General features: G+C 40.6%; 1 protein-coding gene across 2 annotated transcripts in view, besides 1 other annotated feature; it reads left to right on the top strand.

Annotated features, from left to right (window-relative positions):
• Positions 1 to 19470, top strand: part of NBAS (NBAS subunit of NRZ tethering complex) — a 782426-nt gene that overhangs the window by 486903 nt on the left and 276053 nt on the right. The window lies entirely within an intron of this gene.
• Positions 1337 to 1493: a silencer, noted in NCBI's record as "fragment chr2:15213063-15213219 (GRCh37/hg19 assembly coordinates)". NCBI's record gives its function as "represses an EF-1alpha promoter that drives an FKBP-Casp9 reporter gene in an ReSE screen in phorbol 12-myristate 13-acetate-treated (for megakaryocytic differentiation) K562 erythroleukemia cells {active_cell/tissue: K562(+PMA)}" and the evidence as "EXISTENCE:reporter gene assay evidence [ECO:0000049][PMID:32094911]".

Here is a 19470-nt window from a genome sequence, read left to right as displayed (position 1 = left end):
TCCTTCCTTCCCTCCTTCTTTCCTTCCCTCCCCCCCTCCTTCCATCCTTCCTTCTTTCCATCCTTCCTTCCATCCTTCCTTCCTTCCCTCCCTCCCTTCTTCTTTCCATGTGTTTTTATCTTCAATCTAGTTTTAATTAATTTTTATACAGGAATAAGGTAGTAATCCAGTTTAGTTTTATCAAATGTCTGGCCTATTGTCACAACACTGTTGATTACATTATCTTTTTTGTATTGGTTTAAAACATTTCCTTTAACATTGCTTAAATTTTCATATGGACTTGAATGTATGTTTGAGTTTTTGGAGCTATTCTGTTGCTCTGTCTATTCCTGAACCAACATCAAGTTGTTCTGATCATTGTAACTTTATAACATATTTTCATATCTGGTGTTAGTCTTCCTCATTATTCATAAGATTTTTTCCAATTTTCCTAGTGTTTTATCCACAATGAACTATAAAATCATTGAGGTCTGGTTCTAAACATAACTTCTTGACATTTTGACTAATGCTTGCAAAATATTTTAGAGAGATAGGTCCAAGAATATTAACAGCAGCATTGTGTGCAAAGCCTGAATGCCGATTAACACGATGATATATCAAAACACATAAAATGAGTCAGTGAGAAAGAATGTATTGGTGTTATCTGCATCAAATGGATGACTCTCACAAACTTAATATTAGGTAAAAAAGAGTAAGTCACAAAGGAAGACAATGTTATATGTATGTGTCTATATATGTGCACGTGTATGTATATTTCTGTGTATAACATGAGAAAGTACATTTTGCTTAGTAATATATATTTAAGTAGTAAAAGAAAAAAAATGCATGGAAGTGATAAGCACAAATTCAAGATTGTGGTTACTCATGATAGGATGCGGGGGATACAGCCAAAAAATAGAAACAGATGCCTTCCCCTGTACTGGTATTGTTTTATTTTTTATTTTTTTTTTTTTTTGAGAAGGAGTTTCACTCTTGTTGCCCAGGCTGGAGTGCAATAGTGTTGTCTTGGCTCACTGCAACCTCTGCCTCCCAGGTTCAAGTGATTCTGCCTCAGCTTCCCCAGTAGCTGGGATTACAGGCACCTGCCACCACGCCCAGCTAATTTTTGTATTTTTAGTAGAGACAGTGTTTCACCATGTTGGCCAGGCTGGTCTCAAACTCCTGATCTCAGGTGATCTGCTCACCTTGGCTTCCCAAAGTGTTGGGATTACAGGTGTGAGCCACCACGCCCATCCTTATTTTACTTCTTAAAGCTAAGATACAGAAGAATTTTCTGTGTTATTCTTTTTTGTTGTTGTTGTTTGTTTTGAGTCAGGGTTTCCAGCTGTTGCCCAGGCTGGAGTGCAGCAGTGCGATCTCAGCTCACTGTGGCCTCCATTTTCCCAGGCTTAAGCAGTTCTCCAGCCTCCCAAGTAGCTTGAACTACAGGTGCGAGCCACCAATGCCTGGCTGATTTTTGTATTTTTGTAGAGACAGGGTTTCTGCATGTTCCCAGGCTGGTCTCGAACTCCTGAGCTCGAAGTGATCCACTTGCCTCAGCCTCTCAAAGTGTTGGGGTTACAGGCATGAGCCTCTGCGCCTGGCCTGTGTTATTCTTTAAGCTCTTTTGTATGCCTTTGATGTTGATAATTGTTTTTAATTTAAAAGTTCTACTGAGTACATAAGATAAACATAAAATGGGAAAATATACTTATTCGCAGATGAGGAATGTCACTATCATAATATTTTCAATTCTCCATGACTCCCAGTATATTTATTATTTCCCTTAACACGTTGTATTGAGACTGTTTAAATATTTCTGTGATTATATTTTTATAAAACTATAAACACAAAACCGAGGTTAAAATAGGAAAATGCCTGATGATTTAAGGAGCAGCTCCCTCTCTATTGGAGAAATTTCAAAGAATTAAATGGATTTGACTAGATAAAATTTTTTTAAAAATCTTCAATACTACAGAAACATCATAAAAAATTCAAAAGAAATGCGAAATTAGAAAATATTTATAGTGATATGGTAAAGGAGTCATGTACTTAATATGTCAAAATGTTCACACCAATCAATAAGAAAACATTAAAACTCCAATAAGTAATGAGCAAAAGACCTGAACAGGAACTTCACTGAAGAATAAATACAAATGGCCAATAAATAAAGCAAGCTTAATCTTATTAAAGTCAATTAAAACAGCAAGGCGAGTATTTTTCTTGGTAAATAAGCAAAGATTAAAGATAATATAAAAATACTGGCAAAAGCCATGAGGCTGGTACTCTCACAGACTGCTAGAGGGGGTTTCATCTGCTAAAAGTTTTGGAAAGTAATGAGAAAATATCTCCAGAGCCTTAAAATAGATAATTCTTCAAAGTGGAAATTCATTTTAGAGAGCCATCCTGAGCAAGTAGACAGAAAAATTCAGTCAAATATTAATTTGTGTGAATATTCATCCAAGTTTGCCTGTTTATTTACTCCACGAAGTCTTCAGGGACAAAGATGTAATCAATACACTTGACTTTTTTCTTGATTATGTTTTCATGACATCTTTGTTGCTCTAAATCCCCACTTCTAGTGGAAAAGCCGCTGTGTAGATACATTGTTCTCACCTTCAGAAGCAGGAGGATGAGACATGCTCATTTGTTGCTTGGGAAAAAAACATGAGTCCCTTAACCACCCGGGAGAAATCCATGTTCTTCCTGAATCCTCGTGCTTCTGCTTGAGGTTTTCTCCCATCCTTTGCTACCATATAAAGCAGGGCTTCTCAGCCTCGGCACGATTAATACTGGAGCTGGGCAATTCCCTTTTTTTTTTTTTTTTTGGAGATGGAGTCTTGCTCTATCACCCAGGCTGGAGTGCAGTGGCACGATCTCAGCTCACTGCAACCTCCGCCTCCCGAGTTCAAGCGATTCTTCTGCCTCAGTCCCCCGAGTAGCTGGGACTATAGGTGCCCTCTGCCACGCCCGGCTAGTTTTTGAAGTTTTAGTAGAGACGGAGTTTCACCGTATTGGCCGGGCTGGTCTCCAACTCCTGACCTCGTGATCTGCCCGCCTTGGCCTCCCAAAGTGCTGGGATTACAGGCGCGAGCCACCGCGCCCGGCCCCTTTGTGGTGGGGCTTTCTTGGGCACTGCAGGCCATATAATAGTATCCCTGACCTCTACCCATTAAATGACAGTAGATGACAAAATGTCTCTGGACATTCCTGAAAGTCTCCTAAGGGAGAGGGAACATTGTTCCCTGTTGAGAATCACTGGTTTCAAGCGTTAGTCTTACCGAGCATAGGTCTCTTGTTTCCCTGGGTTGGGAACATAGGCCCTTCTTCCAGAGGAGGAGTGTTGATGTCACATTATAGGAAGGGTGTGTGGGATGGGATTGTATTGAAGTGGCTGGCTTTGGAAAATGCTATCCATCTGCCACACCAGCTTTGTCACTAACCCACTGTGCATTCTTGGGGTGTCCTTTTCCTCTCTGGGTCTCAGTTTCTCCACCAGCAAAATGAAGAATTTGAGCTCAAATCAGTGGTTTTTAAGAAGCATGTCATGGCCCATGTAGGTGCTGCTGTGAGATAAAGGGCTCAGGGAGGAGGACACCCCTCTTTCTTCTTCCAAAGAAACTGTACTTTTATGTTTTACATTTTGGTCTTTCAGGTAAGTCTTGTAACAACGTGATCATGTATATGCATGGCAATATATTCTAATGATGCTAATTCTGTGATGGTTGTGTGGGGTCCTGAGGACAAGTGCACACCCTGGTGTGAGAAGAGATGGAATTTTCCATGGAAGGGAATAGGCCCCCTAGTGTGAGGGGGCATGGAGTTTTTCATGGAAGGGAATGAGTGTTGCTAGGGGAGAGTGTTAGCTGTAGGGCAGGAAACTTGCCTTTGGCCTGGCCGAGACCAAGGGGTAGGACTTAGGGACACAGAGGAGCCATGGAGTGTTCTGCTCTTGTTGGTGAGCCACTCCTGAGAAATGGAGGCAGATATGGGGCCAACAACACCCCAGTTACTTTGATTTTCACTGGGAAGAGCAGCAAGCAGCCAACAGCAGGGGCAGGAGCTGTGGGGTCCTGCAGCCTCCATGTGGGTGTATTTGAGTTTTATTCTTGTTACAAGAGGGACCAGGGTGGACCCTGTGTATACAAAAAGAGCTGTGGTCTATCCTCAAGGCCACATTAGGGGCATCAGCATTAGACATCTGAAGAAACAGCTGTGCCTGTTGGAGGCTGGACTTAAGGGGCCAGAGAGCCTTACTGTAGAGCCACTCTACCTAGTCATTTTGTTGCCCTAGAATGGGAGCATTTTAGAAACAACTAGTACCACACTGTAAGTAGGACCAGGACAGACAGCAGGTCAGGAGACAGTCGAGCTCCACTTTCAGAAATGAATCAATTTTTAAAATAAAGTATACTGCCAGGGGACTCTGCAGTTCTGACATTCTCATGGTGGGGGGGTTCTGACCAAAGGTAGCACACCTGAGTGAGGAGTACTTTGCCTCACTGACTTGATAAAATGGGTCTCAGGTTTGTCTGGGTCAAGAACTAGATAACTCCAATTCCCAATCCGTGCCTGCCTTCCTGCCTCGCTATCATAATGCTGATCTACTCGCATTTTTTAACAAATGTTCACAGACAAAGCCAAACATCGATCTGTCTTTGCTCTTTGTTTTAAGTAGATGCTGTTATTAATGTTTTATGTAGATGCTGTCACAGAGAAAAAATATCCTTAAAAAGTTATTACTTTTTTTTTCTCTTAACATGACCAAAGATTTTACAGAGATGTGGAGGTGAGAAAAATCTCCTGGCTTTTCATCCTTTGAAATGTGAAAAGTAGTTTTGATAGTGTCATTTGCCATTTTTGCTATCTCTTTTACAGGTCCATTTTTTTTTTTTTGAGCCCCACTGAAACCATGATAAGATCCACAGTTCTCAGGGTGAGCCTGACTTCAGAGCTCAGTGATCTGAAGGATAGAGATCGTTCAGAAAAAGAACTCATTAGCATGACTTAGGAGTCTTGGAAGGTAATCATTTCAAGATGAAGGGTTGAGAACAACACTGGGCTTTTGCCATGACTGAAGGAATCTCTTTGCTGGGCAACCTGACAATTTCCAAAGCCGCTTCACTGCTGGGCTCGTCATCAGGAGCTATTTTAGGTAGCCCTGAACATCTGGCTGTAAGGGTTTTGACAAGTCAGACTTAAAGAGGCGAAGTGTGTGTGTTCTCACATTCTTTTCCAATTGGACAGTGCTATGCTTTGAATATCTGTCCCCTCCAAAAGTCACGTTGAAATTTAATCCATAATGTGGTAGCACGGAAAGGTGGTGCATTTGAGAGATGATTAGGTCGTGAGAGCTCTGCCCTCCTGAATGCATTAATCCATTTGTGGATTAGTGGGTTGTCATGGGAGTAGGACCGGTGGCTTTATAAGAAGAGGAAGAGAGATCAGAGGGACATGCTAAGCCCCCCCAACCATGTGAGGCCCTGCGCTGCCTCGGGACTCTGTAGAGACTTCCCACCAACCAGGAGGCTCTCACTGGATGCAGCTCTTGACCTTGGACTTCTCAGCCTCCATAACTGTAAAGAATAAATCCCCTTTCTTATAAATTACCAAGTTTCAGGTATTGTGTTATAAGCAACAGAAAACAGATTAATACAGGTAGATAAAGAGATTGTGTTTAGAATTTTTAGAAGCCAGGAAATTGCACTGTTTCTCAGGTGTGGTTTTTGGATGGTGCTGCCAGGGCAAGTCAGCATATTGCTTAGAAAAGCAAATCGGAGTCACTATGACTACCATTACTACTACCCCTATTAACTACTGCTGCTACATGGATATAATTTATTAAAACTGCCAATTAATAGTCATCAGGATTCAAAAGATGATTAAGACATTGTCTCTGCCTAGGAAAATAGACTAGCTTCAAGCCTGCATTGTGAGTGGGTGGCAGAGTGGGGTTTGGGGTTCATTGCTTTTGCCTCTCATCCTGGTCTAGACAAAGTCCTCAGTAGAGATTCATACCTAGAACCTTCCAAGAAAACATGTATTGAGCACTTGCCTTCCTCGGTGTCTCCAGAATTTATATCCTCCTTCCTACGTTGGATGCCTTCTTAATTGTAGCTGCCACTGAATTCGGCATCGATGAATGTATGGATCATGACAGATGTTTCCCCCCACATAAACTCATTAACGCTCACAACAGACTACGGTAGGACTAGGTAAGTAGATGTTTCAAGTTTGAGAAAATGTATTAGAGAACTAAAGTCAGGGAATGTAGGGGACCTGCCTGAGGCTATACAGCCAGTAAGTGGCAAAGCTATAATCAAATCCAGGTTTCACTTAATCCCAAAGTTCCTCAACTTTAGATCATTCTTTGTTCTAAATCTATATTCATAATTAGAACAATTCTAGAAGTAATTGGAGAAATTATCAATGTGTTTGTTAAACTCTAAAACTTAGAGGCTAAGCACACTTCCCTTTTTCTTTTTTCTTTTTCCTTTGACCTTGAAACTCTTTTAGTTATGTATTGTTCTCAGTTAATCTCAATTAATTAATATGGGTCTCAAGAATGTTTTATCTTTCTTCATTTTACTTTTACTTACATATTTATATTTTTATTGTGGTAAGAACACTTGACATGAGGTAAACTCTCTTAACAAATTTGTGATTGCATAACACAGTATGTTAACTATAGGCGCAGTGTTGGACAGCAGATCTCTAAACTTACTCATCTGGTTTAACTTTATACCCAATCAACAGCAACTTCACGTTTCCCCCTCCCCCACAGCCCCTAAAAGCCACCATTCTACTCTCTGTTTCTGAGTTTGACCATTTTAGATACTTTATATAAGTGGAATCATGCAGTGCTTGTCCTTCTGCAACTAACATGTCACTTAACATAATGTCCTTCAGGCTCATCCATGTTGTGGCACGTGGTAGGATTCCTTTCTTACTCTCTTTCTTTTCTTCTCTTCTCCTCTCCCCTCCTCTCCCCTCCTCTCCCCTCCTCTCCCCTCCTCTCCCCTCCTCTCCCCTCCTCTCCCCTCCCCTCCCCTCCCCTCCCCTCCCCTCCTCTCCTCTCCTCTCTTTTCTTTTTTCCTTTTCTTTTCTGGAGACAGAGTTTCACTCTGTCACCCGGGCTGGAGTGCAGTGGCATAATCACAGTTTGCTGCAGCGTTGACCTCCCAGGCTTAAGTGATCCTCCCCCATCAGCCTCCTGAGTAGTTGAGACTAAACGGGTGCACCACCACACCTGGCTAATTTTTTGATTTTTTTTTTTTTTTTTTTTTTTTTTTTGTGGAGATAAGGTCTCACTATGTTGCTCAGGCTGGTCTCGAACTCCTGGACTCAAGTAATCCACCCGCCTTGGCCTCCCAAAGTGGTGGGATTACAGACATAAACCTGCATGCCTGACCAGGATTTCTGCCTTTTTAAGGCTGAATAATATTCTATTGTATGCATTATTACATTTTCTTTATTGGTTGATCTGTTGATGGACACTTAGGTTGATTCCTTATCTTGGCTATTGTGAACAATGCTGCAATGAACATGGGGGTGCTGATATTTCTTCAACATTCTGATTTTATTTCCTTTGATGGTATACTTAGAAGTGGGATTGCTGGATCATATGGTAGTTCTATTATTAATTTTTTGAAGAAGTTCCATATTGTTTTCCCTAGTGGTTGCACCATTTTACATTCCCACCAAAAATTAACAGTGTACAAGTGTTCTCTTTTCCCCACATATTTGCCAACACTTACCTTTTGTTTTTTGATAATAGCCATCGTAATAGATGTGAGGTTCTTATTGTGGTTTTGATTTGCATTTCCCTGATGATTAGTGATGTCGATTTTTTAAAAACGTGCTTGTGGTTCACATGTATGTCTTCTGTGGAGAAATGTCTGTTCAATCCTTTACTTATTTTTTAATTGGATTGTTTTCTTGCTCTTGCGTCATATGATTTCCCTATGTGTTTTGGATATTAACCCCTTAACAAATGTATGGTTTGTGAATATCTTCTCCCATTTCATAGGTTGCCTTTTCACTGTGTGATGGTTTTTCTTAATCCTTTTTGGTTTGATATAGTCCCATTTGCTTGGTTTTGTTTTTGCTGACTATGCATTTGGTGTCAAATCCAAGAAATAATTGCCGAGATCAATGTCATGAAGGTTTTTCCTAGTAAAATAATTTCAGGTCTTAAGTATAAATCATTAATCCATTTTGACTTTACTTTTATGTACGGTATAAGATAAGGAACAATTTCATTTTTTTCTGCATGTAGGTATCTAGTTTTCCCAGTACTATTTGTTGAAGAGATTGTCCTTTCCTCATTGTGTAGTCTTGGCACCCTTGTCAAAGAGCAATTGACTGTAAATGTGTGTGTTTATTTCTGGGCTATTTATTCTGTTCCATTGGTCTTTATTTCTGTCTGCATGTCAGTAGCATACAATTTTGTTTACTATAACTTTGTAATATATTTTGAAATCAGGAAGTATGAGGCCTCCAACTTTGTTCTTCTTTGATTGCTTTGGCTACTCAGGGATTTTGTGGTTCCATATTAATTTTAGGATTTTCTATGTCTGTAAAAAATGTCATTGGGATTTTGATGGAGATAGTGTTGAATCTGTAGATTGCTTTATTTAGTAGGGGCAATTTAGCAGTAACAAGTCTTCCAATCCATAAACATGTAGCATCTTTCCATTTATTTGTATACTTTAATTTTTTTTTAAATCAATGTGTTGTAGTTTTCTTTGTCCAAGGAGACTTTTGCCTCCTTGGTTAAGTTTATTTCTAAGTGTTTTATTCTATTTGTTGTTACTATAAATAAGATTGTTTTCCTAATTTCCTTTTTGGATAGTTTGTTGTTAGAAACACAACTGATTTTGTATGATGATATTGTATCCTGCAACTTCAGTGAGTTTATTAGTTCTAACAATATTTCGTGTGTGGAGTTTTTATGGTTTTCTACTATAAGGTCATGTCATCTCCAGACAGATAATCTTACTTCTTCCTTATCAGTTGGCTGCCTTTTATTTCTTTTTCTTGCCTAATTGCTCTGTCTAGGACTTCTAGAACTATGTTGAGTAGAAGTGCTGAGAGAGGACATCCTTGTTTTGTTTCTGGTCTTAGAGAAAAAGGTTTTTGTTTTTCATCAGTGAGTATAATGTTAACTCTGGGATTTTCATATGTGACTTCTATTTTTGGTTTGATATAATTGATATATCTCAACTTCATTGAGATATCATTAACATAAAATTTTGTATATTTAAGGTGTACAACTTGATGTTTTGATATATGTATATATCGTGAAAGAATCAACATATTTGTACTAATTAACATATCTTACATAATTTTTATTTTGTTGAGGTAAATTTTTTCTATACCTATTTGTTGAGAGTTTTTATTATGAAGAGTGTTGAATTTTGTCAAATGCTTTTTTCTGCATCTCTTGAGATGAACATGTGATATTTATGCTTTATCCTCTAAATGGGTTCTGTTACATTAATTGATTTGCATATGTTGAGCCATTCTTGCATGCCAGGGACAACTCCCACTTGGTCTTGATATACGATCCTTTTAATGTGCTGTTGAGTTTGATTTGGTATTATTTTATTAAGGGTTTTTGCATCTATGTTCATCTGAGACATTTACCTGTAGGGTTTTTGTTTTGTTTTGTTCTGTTTCGTTTTTGGTAGTGCCTTTGTCTGGCTTTGGTATCAGGGTAATGCTGACCTCATAAAATGAGTTTAGGAAGCGTTCCCTCTTCTTTGATATTTTGGAATAATTTAAGAAGAATTGATTTTAATTATTCTTTAAATATTTGGTAGAATTCCTAAGTGAAACCATACGGTCTTGGACTTTTCTTTGTTGGCCAGATTTTGATTACTGATTCGGTCTTCTCATTTTTATTGGTCTGTCCAGATTTTTCTGTTTCTTTATTTTATTTATCTATTTTTGCATGTCAAACTACTTTGGTCAATTTATTTCTTTATAATTCAGTCTTGGTAGATTATATGTTTCTAAGAATTTATACATTTCACCTAGGTTATCTAATTTGTTGATGTTTAATTGTTCATAGTAGTCCTGTGATCTCTTTATTTTAGTTGTATTAGTTGTAATGTCTCCTCGTTTCTGATTTTTTTTTTTTTTTTTTGAGTCTTTTCTCTTTTTTTCTTAGTCTAGCTAAGGTTTGCCAATTTTGTTTAACTTTTCAGGAAACCAACTCAGTTTGTTAATTTTTTCTATTGTTTTTCTATTTTCTATTTATTTCTGTTCTAATCTTTATTATCTTCTTCCTTCTGCTAACTTTGAGCTCAGTTTGTAGGAGACTTCAATACCCTGTTTTCGACAACGAAGACAGATAATCAATAAGGAAACATCAAACTTTCACAACACTATAGACCAAATAAATGGGCCTAGCAAGACGTATACAGAACATTCTACTGCCCTCTTTCTTCTGTGTCCCAGCTTCCCCTTCTACTGCTTATGGGAGATAGAACAAATAAAAGATAGCTCCACACTCTATATCTTATATATTAGTTTCCTAGGGCTGTCATAACAAAACATCACAGACTGAGTGGCTTAAGCAACAAAAGTTTATTTTCTCATGATTCTGGAGGGTAAAAGTTGGAGATCAAGGCAGTGGTCATGTGGTTTCTCCTGAGACCTCTCTCCTTGGCTCTCAGATGGCCACCTTCTTGCATATGTTTTGTAAGAAGTCCTCACATGGCCTGTTCTCTGTGTGTGCACATTCTCGATGCCTCTTTCTTTCCTTTCTAATGACACTAGTCATATCGGATTACAGCCCCACTTTTAAGACTTCATTTAACCTTAATTACCTCCTTAAAGTCCCTATCTACAAATACACTCCCATTCTGAGGTATGCTGGGGGTTAGGGCTTCAACATATGAATTTTGGGAAAGGGGAAACAATTTGGTCCATAAAACGTTATATATTGAAAAATCAGTTGTGAAAAATGTGATGATCAAAAAGACATTCTGTCCATCCTCCAGGAGCTTACAGGCTAGATGGAGATACCTAAAGAAAGATGGGGCCATGAGTGATTTTGGAGCTCAGAGGAGGGTCAGACCACCGTGAGCTACAGAGCTTAAGGAAGGCTCCTGGGATGAGCCAATGAACAGGGGGCCTTGAAAGATGCACACACATTTCTAGAAATTCAAAAAGGAGGTCCTGCCTAAACATTAAATAGATATGAGAAGTCCATTCTTAACTGCACATAATTGTATAAGCACAAGCATTTCCTGGGCATCTGTTCTCTGTCAGGCACTGAACTGAAGGATGAAAATACAAAGACACGGATTTGTACTGGAGTTGCCCACACTCCACGAGAAGGATGATTTTAGAGTCAAGGATTGACAATGGGTTAGACAGGGAAGTTTGCAACATAGACAAACCATTTGAAGTTGCTTGTGGGGAACAGCTGAATCCCCAACAAGCCATAGCTAGATGCATCTGTCAGGCACAGAGTTGGCTACAGAGGGCACTGCATGGGCTTATAACCTTGGGCTTATTCCCAGGATTCCTGAATCTCTCCTCCTTGCCTAAGACTAGTGTCCCTCTCCTGATTGCATTGTTTTGATTGACTGCTTAGTTTCCTTCTGCCATGTAGCTTACATATTGTTCACATTTCAAGTTCCATGTGGCAGGTTCTTGTCTTTCGGATTTTACTATTTGCAATGTTCAGTCTACATGTGTGATGTCCTTTGTAAACCATGAATGTTAATCAGAGTTTAGGTGTCAGCCACAACAAATTTTGAGATGACAATGTCTAAATCCTAAAAAAGTTTGAAACCAGAATGCAAAACCATTGTCCTCACCACTCTCTATAATTTCCATTAATTGCTCTAATATGCTGGTTCCTCTTTTTGATTGCATGCCCTTTAGAAGAAAATCATTGATACATTGATTACAGCTTTCATCTGGAGGTTCGAGCATTTCTAAACATTTATTTGGATTTCATGCCAAACTGGGGGATAATTGCACATAAAAGGATCATGCTGGGTTAGATACTGACATGGGGTTTTAAAATATCCTTCCTCTAGTATAAATAGCCCAATTGGCAGCTCAGGCATGCATCTCATCGCTCTGTGCAGCTTGACCGACTACATTTTCTGTTTAGCGATAACACAGGATAATAGATGGTGCTCAGAGAGGTAACCTTCAAGCTCAATGGCTGAGACATGCTTTCTGATCCAAAGTTGTGGCAGGTGAGATTGTAAAGCCTGAGTCTTGGAGAAATGCTACAGGGTACCAGAAACCAGGCAGCAGTAACACAGCTTTCTTTTTCAAAGGAGAATCCCGGAAGGACCTATCTTATTAATGTGGGATGACCCCAATGTTGCCCGAAACTGGGGATGGCCCAACTGAATTCCAGCAGATGGCACCTTCTGTGGCTGCTCTCCTTTTAAGAATCTGGAAGGTGCTTCTTGGGGTCTCGGCTGCACATCTTGGAAGGGCTGAGGATCACTGTCTTGCTTCATGCTGCACCCCTGGCTTTCTTCCTCTTCCCTGCTCTCCTGACATGTACATACTCTTGCTGCTTCAATGATATAATGCTTTGCTTTAAGGTTTGCTTATCTTCGCCTGTGAAACCACAGGTGAAGAATTATAAACTAAGGGTTTTAGCCATGTATTCAAGAAGGGATTTGGCAAACAAATGGTTCCCATGAACACACTGACATGGTGTCTTTCTGGATTGTCACCACTCACAGAGCTGGAAAGGAGCCAGAGAACAGCCTTCTGGAGTATGCTATTGGGGTCCTGGGCGAAGCCAGCTGTTTGCAATGTTACTCCCGCTTGATGAATTTCTCTCAGGGGCAGGACTGGGATGCAGAAACTGTGGATTAGTACCCCAACCACCATGTATGTGCCCTGTGACCTTGATGACATCAGCTCAAATGGGCTTCATTTCTACCAACACACAGGAGCATTTTAATGAAATCACATGCATTTATGCAGATAACAGCTACCATTTAAAACTACCACTTATCAGATAGTCACTATGTGCCAAGCATTAGATTAGGACATTTACATATTTGATTTAATTTAATCTTCATGATAGCTTTGAAAATTAGTTATTATGCAGCTTGCCCAGAGTCATGAAGCTAATAAGAAAACCCCAAACCTGGGATGCAGGTTGAACTCCAGAGCCTTGTTCTTTTCCTCATACCAGGCTGCATCTCAGTCAACACCTTAGTTGCAGTTACATCCGAATGTATGTGTGTGTGCACACACAGGTGAGCACGTGCATGTATGGAAAAGACTTACGTTTATACCAAGAGCGTGAGTCTTGTGTCTCTGCTTCCAAATTCCCTGGGACGCAAGTTTTATCATCTCATCCTGAGCCCTGAATGATCCTTTCCAGCCTCTCTCAGAAGCAAGTACTTAAGGCTTCTCTTTGTTTTTATTTTCTGTATAAGTGAAAACATTGTAATTTTTTTTACACGTGTTACAGAATAATTGAGCCCATTTTCATGTCATAAATTATGTGGCTGATTTCTCATACTTTTGAGCCACCTATGTTGTGTCTGACAGCTATACCAATTTTGTTTACTGGGAAGTCGGGGCAGTGAGGCTTGTGCCTCCCTTATTTCTCTTGTGATTAAGGCTATGTCCATCATTATCTCATTTAATCCTCCCAGCAACCTCTGAAGGGAGGATTATGATAATCACCCCAATTTTACAGCTGAAAACATTGAGGCTCAGAGAGCTTACAATATTAGTTTTAAATCACCCACGAGAAAGTAGTAGATCTAGGATCCTCAGTTTCCCCTTCTTCCCCCTCCCCGACTCGAAGTCCCATCCTCCCTGCACTGACCCAGCAGGGCTGTGTGTGCTCCCTCATCTGCCTCCTGGGACCCACCCCCAACACTGAGTCCTGAGCAGGAGGCTTGCCCTGTGTGCGCCTAGCTTGTCACCGATGCCTCCCAGGATCAGGGGAGGAATAAACAGGGGCTCAGCATGCCCTGTGTTTGTGTTCTGCCTTGTTTCAATAAAATATGATCTTCCTGCAGACAGCCCAATGCAGTCCACCGAGTTCATTAAATCAAGAGCTCTCTCCATGCTGCTGTCACTAAAGACACTTTCACTTATGCACAGGTGGTGGTCCTGAGACTCGAGCTGCATGGGGACGCAGGTGGGGAGGAGCTGCTGCCAAGCGGGGAATGTGCTCCCCGGACATGGCAGGGGGGATGGAGATTTGAGACACAAATCCACGTCCACATCTCATTTTATGCTTTTCCAAAGTGAGCTTACAGATTTTATTCCATTTTGATGCTTATGGGTTCAATTATCCCCCTTTTATAGATGACTGAGCAGAGGCCTAGTAACATTAGGTGACTCATTCAGCGTCACTCAGCATGCTGGCGGCAGAGCTAGGATCCAGGTGAGCTTACTCTTGATGAGGCATTTGCTTGCTGTGTTAAATGACGACACTTCTACGTGGAGTGTTTTTTTTTTTGTTTTTTTTTTTGTTTTTTTTTTTTTTTTAGCAGCACTGCTATCCTTCCCTACCATCATTAGTTCATGACTACAAATACATGCTTTCCTGTGGTTTAGCCTTTTTGCTGTCACCTGACTCTAATTGCTGGAAAGGTTTTCTTTATGCTGAGCTGAAATCTCCTCTTTCATTATAATTCAGGCCTCCAGAGCTTCACAGAATAAGTTTTCAGCCCAAGTCTTCTCTTGTCCCAGTATCTCTGATTTCTTCAGCCTGTTCTCATGAGAGACAGAATCTAGACCTCTCTCCAACATGATTGCCTTTCTCTGGGTACACTTGCTATGAAACATGAAAGTTCAACTCCCCAGGTGGGATCTAATCAGGTCAGTGCGAGGGAGGTCTCTGCTGGCTGTGTTGGGCTCCCAGGGTTCTATGTGAGGTGGTCTCTGAAGGGGCCCTGTCCATCACTCAGGCATGGGCTTATTTCCTGATAGGCCTCACTGTGCCTTCTGGGGGCATCTGCTTATCTTCCCCAGTATGGGTTGGCTCTATGAGAATGGGCAGGGTCCAGTCCAAAGTGTCAACAATGCAAAGGTTAAGAAACCTTATAATTCATTATCTAAAAAATAAAAAAAAAGAAAAAATCCACAAATAATGAGCTGCTTCATCAACAAGGAACATTTACTGTACAGCAGTTATGTACAAGGTTTGGTGCCAGGCCCTAAGGCTATGAGACAGTAAGGTGTTGTCCTCATGAAAACAATTTCCCTAAATTTGTGGAGCCCACTGGAGTTTACAAATTGTCTCTGTATCAATCATCTCACAAGAATCCACGTTCCTCTGCAAGATATAGAAGTGAAATCTGCATTGATCTCAGTCTGGGGACAGATTTTGCAAGGACCAGGGATCAGAAAAATAGAGGGAATCCCAAAACAGGGGCTGAACAGAGAGCCTTTGAGACATGGAGGTTCAAAGGCCAGTGGGGAAGACAGAACATTGCTCAAACAGATGGGCTAGAAGCAGATACTGAAGCTGGTGTTTGTAGCAAGGCCTCTGGGAATAGAAATTTTAAAGAGCAAGAAGGTCAGAAGGAAACCTAAGGGATTTGGCCTTGGAGGTCGGCTTTAATCTATCTCCTGGCATGTAGTGCACAAGTCAACAAATAGTCAGCTAAAGGGTGGAACAGATAACAATTTGAGGACATTCGCCACATTACAGAGGAGGGAAAGTGGAGATTCCCGGCCAGTTGTGAAAGTTGTAAGCAATAGAACCAAAATTAAATTCTAGCCTCCTGACCCCATAATCCCAGCTGCTTTCTATTACCCCATGCCATTTCTGCCTCAAGGATGTTATCTTTCCCCCACTGAGTACAATAACCTAGATTAGAATAAGCTGGGTGAGTGTTAAATGCTCTATATTGTCACGCTGGGCTTGAGAACTGGGAACTTCAACCTTATGTTGTGCACATGTTTTAGCCCATTAAGATGTCAACAGCTGCCTGCTCAATCATGTGGTAGAAATATACTTTTTGATTCAAAGCAGCAGCCAAACTTTTATTTGTGGATATTTCTTGTTAGATAATAAATTATAGGGTTTCTTAACCTTTGCACTGTTGACACCAATTTGGACTGGACAATTTTTGTTGTGGGGGCTGTCCTGGGCATTGTAGAATATTGAGCAGCATCCTTGGCCTCTACCCACTAGCTGCCAGTAACACTCCTCTCCCCAGCTGTGACTACCAAAAATGTCTCCAGATGTTGCCCATTGTCCTCTAGGGGGCGAAATTTCTTCCCACGCTCTGCATTGAGAACCACTGATCGATTCATATGATTTTAAACTCAAAAGATACCAAAGGTGTGCAGGCATCTTTTTCGAATAATAACTTCTTTTCCTTTGGGAAGATACCCAGTAGTGGGATTGCTGGATCAAATGGTAGCTCTACTTTTAGTTCTTTAAGGAATCTCCACACTATTTTCCATAGCGGTGGTACTAGTTTACATTCCCAGCAGCAGTGTGGAAGTGTTCCCTGATTGCTGCATCCGCGCCAACATCTACTATTTTTTGATAATTTGATTATGGCCATTCTTACAGGAGTAAAGAGATATTTCGCACGCATGTTTATAGCAGCACAATTCACAATAGCAAAATCATGGAACCAACCCAAATGCCTGTCAATCAACGAGTGGATAAAGAAACTCTGGTATATATGAGATAGAATACTACTCAGCCATAAAAAGGAATAATTAACAGCATTTGCAATGATCTGAATGAGATTAGAGACTATTATTCTAAGTGAAGTAACTCAGGAATGGAAAACCAAACATTGTATGTTCTCACTGATATGTGGGAGCTCAGCTATGAGGACGCAAAGGCATAAGAATGATCAATGGACTTTGGGGACTTGGGGGAAGAGCTGGAGGTTGGTGAGGGATAAAAGACTACAAATATGGTGCAGTGGCTACTGCTCAGGTGATGGGTGCACCAGGATCTCACAAATCTCCACTAAAGAACTTATGTAACCAAACACCACCTGTTCCCCAATAACTTATGGAAAAATAAATTTTTAAAAATTGCCTAGAATAAACTTGGAACTTAAAAAAAAAAGGTATCAAAGGTCCAAGAACAGTCTCTCTCTCTCTTCTGCCCAATCACTCAGCTATCCTGCAACAGTTTTTTTTTTTTTCAAATTTCTGTATTTGGTGTTTTGGATTTTTGCAATGAAGCCACAATTGTTATTGCTGAGAACACGGAGTGCTTGCATCTGGAAAGATGAGCTGTTTCTGTAAGGCTGCCTGAGGGGCCTGACAGCCAGGCTGAGGCCACAGGTCTAGGCTGGCTTTGCAAATGTCGATGACCATTAGAAATTAGGGCAGGGTGCGGTGGCTCACACCTGTAATCCCACCACTTTGGGAGGCCCAGGGGGGCAGATCACCTGAGGTCAGGAGTTCAAGACCAGCCTGGCCAACATGGTGAAACCCCATCTCTACTAAAAATATAAAAAATTAGCCGGGCGTGGTGGCAAGTGCCTGTAACCCCAGCTACTCTGGAGGCTGAGGTGGGAGAATCAATGGAACCTGGGAGGCGAAAGTTGCAGTGAGCTGAGATCGCACCACTGCACTCCAGCCTAGGAGACAGAGTGAGACTCCGTCAAAAAAAAAAAAAAAGAAAAAAAAAAGAAAAGGGAAATTAGGGCTGGGTCTTTGGTCCCCGCCTCTGAATAGTGTGATGTCTAACCTGCTTTGAAGAGCACAAGAAAGCAACCTGACATAAAACTTACCCTACACTCAACCCTGCTCCCGCTTCCTTAGAGCCAAGGAGTTCCTTCCTGCCTTTGACACAGCCAGCCTTTGCCAAAAGCTTAGCTCAAGTTCAGTGTTTCTCCAGATGTTCTGTAGTGAGTGTCTCATGTGTGCATAGCATTTTCCCAGGTAAAATACAGATGATTATTTTCTTAATAGACCTCCATAGACACAAACACTCCCATTCGACAGATGAGAAAATGGAGTCTCATATGAGTCCACATTTCCTCTTTAACTAAAAACAATTGTAAATCAGTCTCAAATTTTAGAAACGTTACAAATGCAGTAAAAAACTTTTCTTGAAGCATTTGACAGTAGGTTGTTGTCCTGATACCCCATCATACCCAAATACTTTAGAGAATATTTCCTGTAGAGAAGGACAGTCTTCCGCATAACCACAATATACACACAAAATCATCCAATTAACATTGATTCTTTCCTATCATCTAATCCTTTATCCCATTCAGGTTTTGCCAAAAGTTCCAGTAAACAGCCTTTAGAGAAAATAGATCCATTTCAGAGTCACATGGTACATCTATCAGTCATGTTTCTTGAATCTTTTTGCTCATGGAACAGTTTCTCAGTTTTTTTTTTTTTACTTCCAGGAGACTCTAAAAAATATAATATAATTGAATCCATTTTTAATTTTTTAGTCAATGTTTATTATATTCAGAGGGACTGAAAACTTAAAATTGTGTAGTTCAAAATTTACAAAAATTAAATACAAGTAAAAGGAATGTAAATCATCTTTCAAATAGTGTACAAATTTGCAGAATTTATACTATGATGGTATCAAAGCTTAAAACTACAACTGCATTTTGGGATCTGCTGTATATTGAAAACCATACATTTTCACAATATATGTAGTTCTAATCCAACACAAAGAAGTCCAGTCTAGATCTCTTCCTTTCCATATTTGTGACTCTCTAAAAGGGAGAAACCCGACTCCCATTGCCATGCTGTATTTTCTAACTTGTTCCTCTCCCTATGTGTAAACAACCTCCCATCCTTGCCATAGACCGTGCACACACCTCCTCATTGGGCTGCTCTGCTGCTCCAGGCTCAGGTTCTTACTTCCTGTTCTTGGCCATCCCTTGACATCCTCACCTGTCCTGTCTGTGTGGATGCTTTCCTCACCATTCTCTGACTCCTATACCCCTCATATGGACACTGCAGCTCTTCCAGCCCCCCGCCCCCCAGCTGGAGAAGATGTCCACCTTGGTCAGCCTCACTCAATGGCTTTAGGACTGGATTATTCAGGAAGAGTAGAGGAGAGGAGCATGAATAGGAGAAGGTAGAAGAAGGGCTCATGATTACTTTTGTTTGCAGTCAGGTTGCACCTCACCCACTGTATTGCAAAGTACTCTCTCTGGGAGGTCACTGGTGTTCTTATCTCAGTCTTCCTCTTCCAGATCCTTCAGCAGCAGAAAACACAGTTGATCATGTCTTTTTTTCTTGAAACCTCCTGTTCCCTTGGCTTTTTACTGTTATTTTCCTTTACCCATCCCTAAAATATTGATGCTTGTTCGTGATTTCCCCTTGCTTTCCTTCTCTTCTCATTCTACACCATTGCTTCGAGTGAATGTATCCAGTCCAACATCACATGGGGAGCTGTGGATGAATGTCTATCTTCTAGTGCCAGACATAGTAGATGACATATCCCAAAGTCGGAAGCTGTATCTCAGTTAAACAGTTACACAACTTTCCTTGCCACAAGACTTTAAAATGCCTTTTAAC

This window comes from Homo sapiens, chromosome 2 (assembly GCF_000001405.40).
Source record: "Homo sapiens chromosome 2, GRCh38.p14 Primary Assembly".
Classification (NCBI taxonomy): domain Eukaryota; kingdom Metazoa; phylum Chordata; class Mammalia; order Primates; family Hominidae; genus Homo; species Homo sapiens.
Note: the sequence above shows the minus strand (reverse complement) of the source record. Positions and strands in the feature narration are given on the sequence as shown.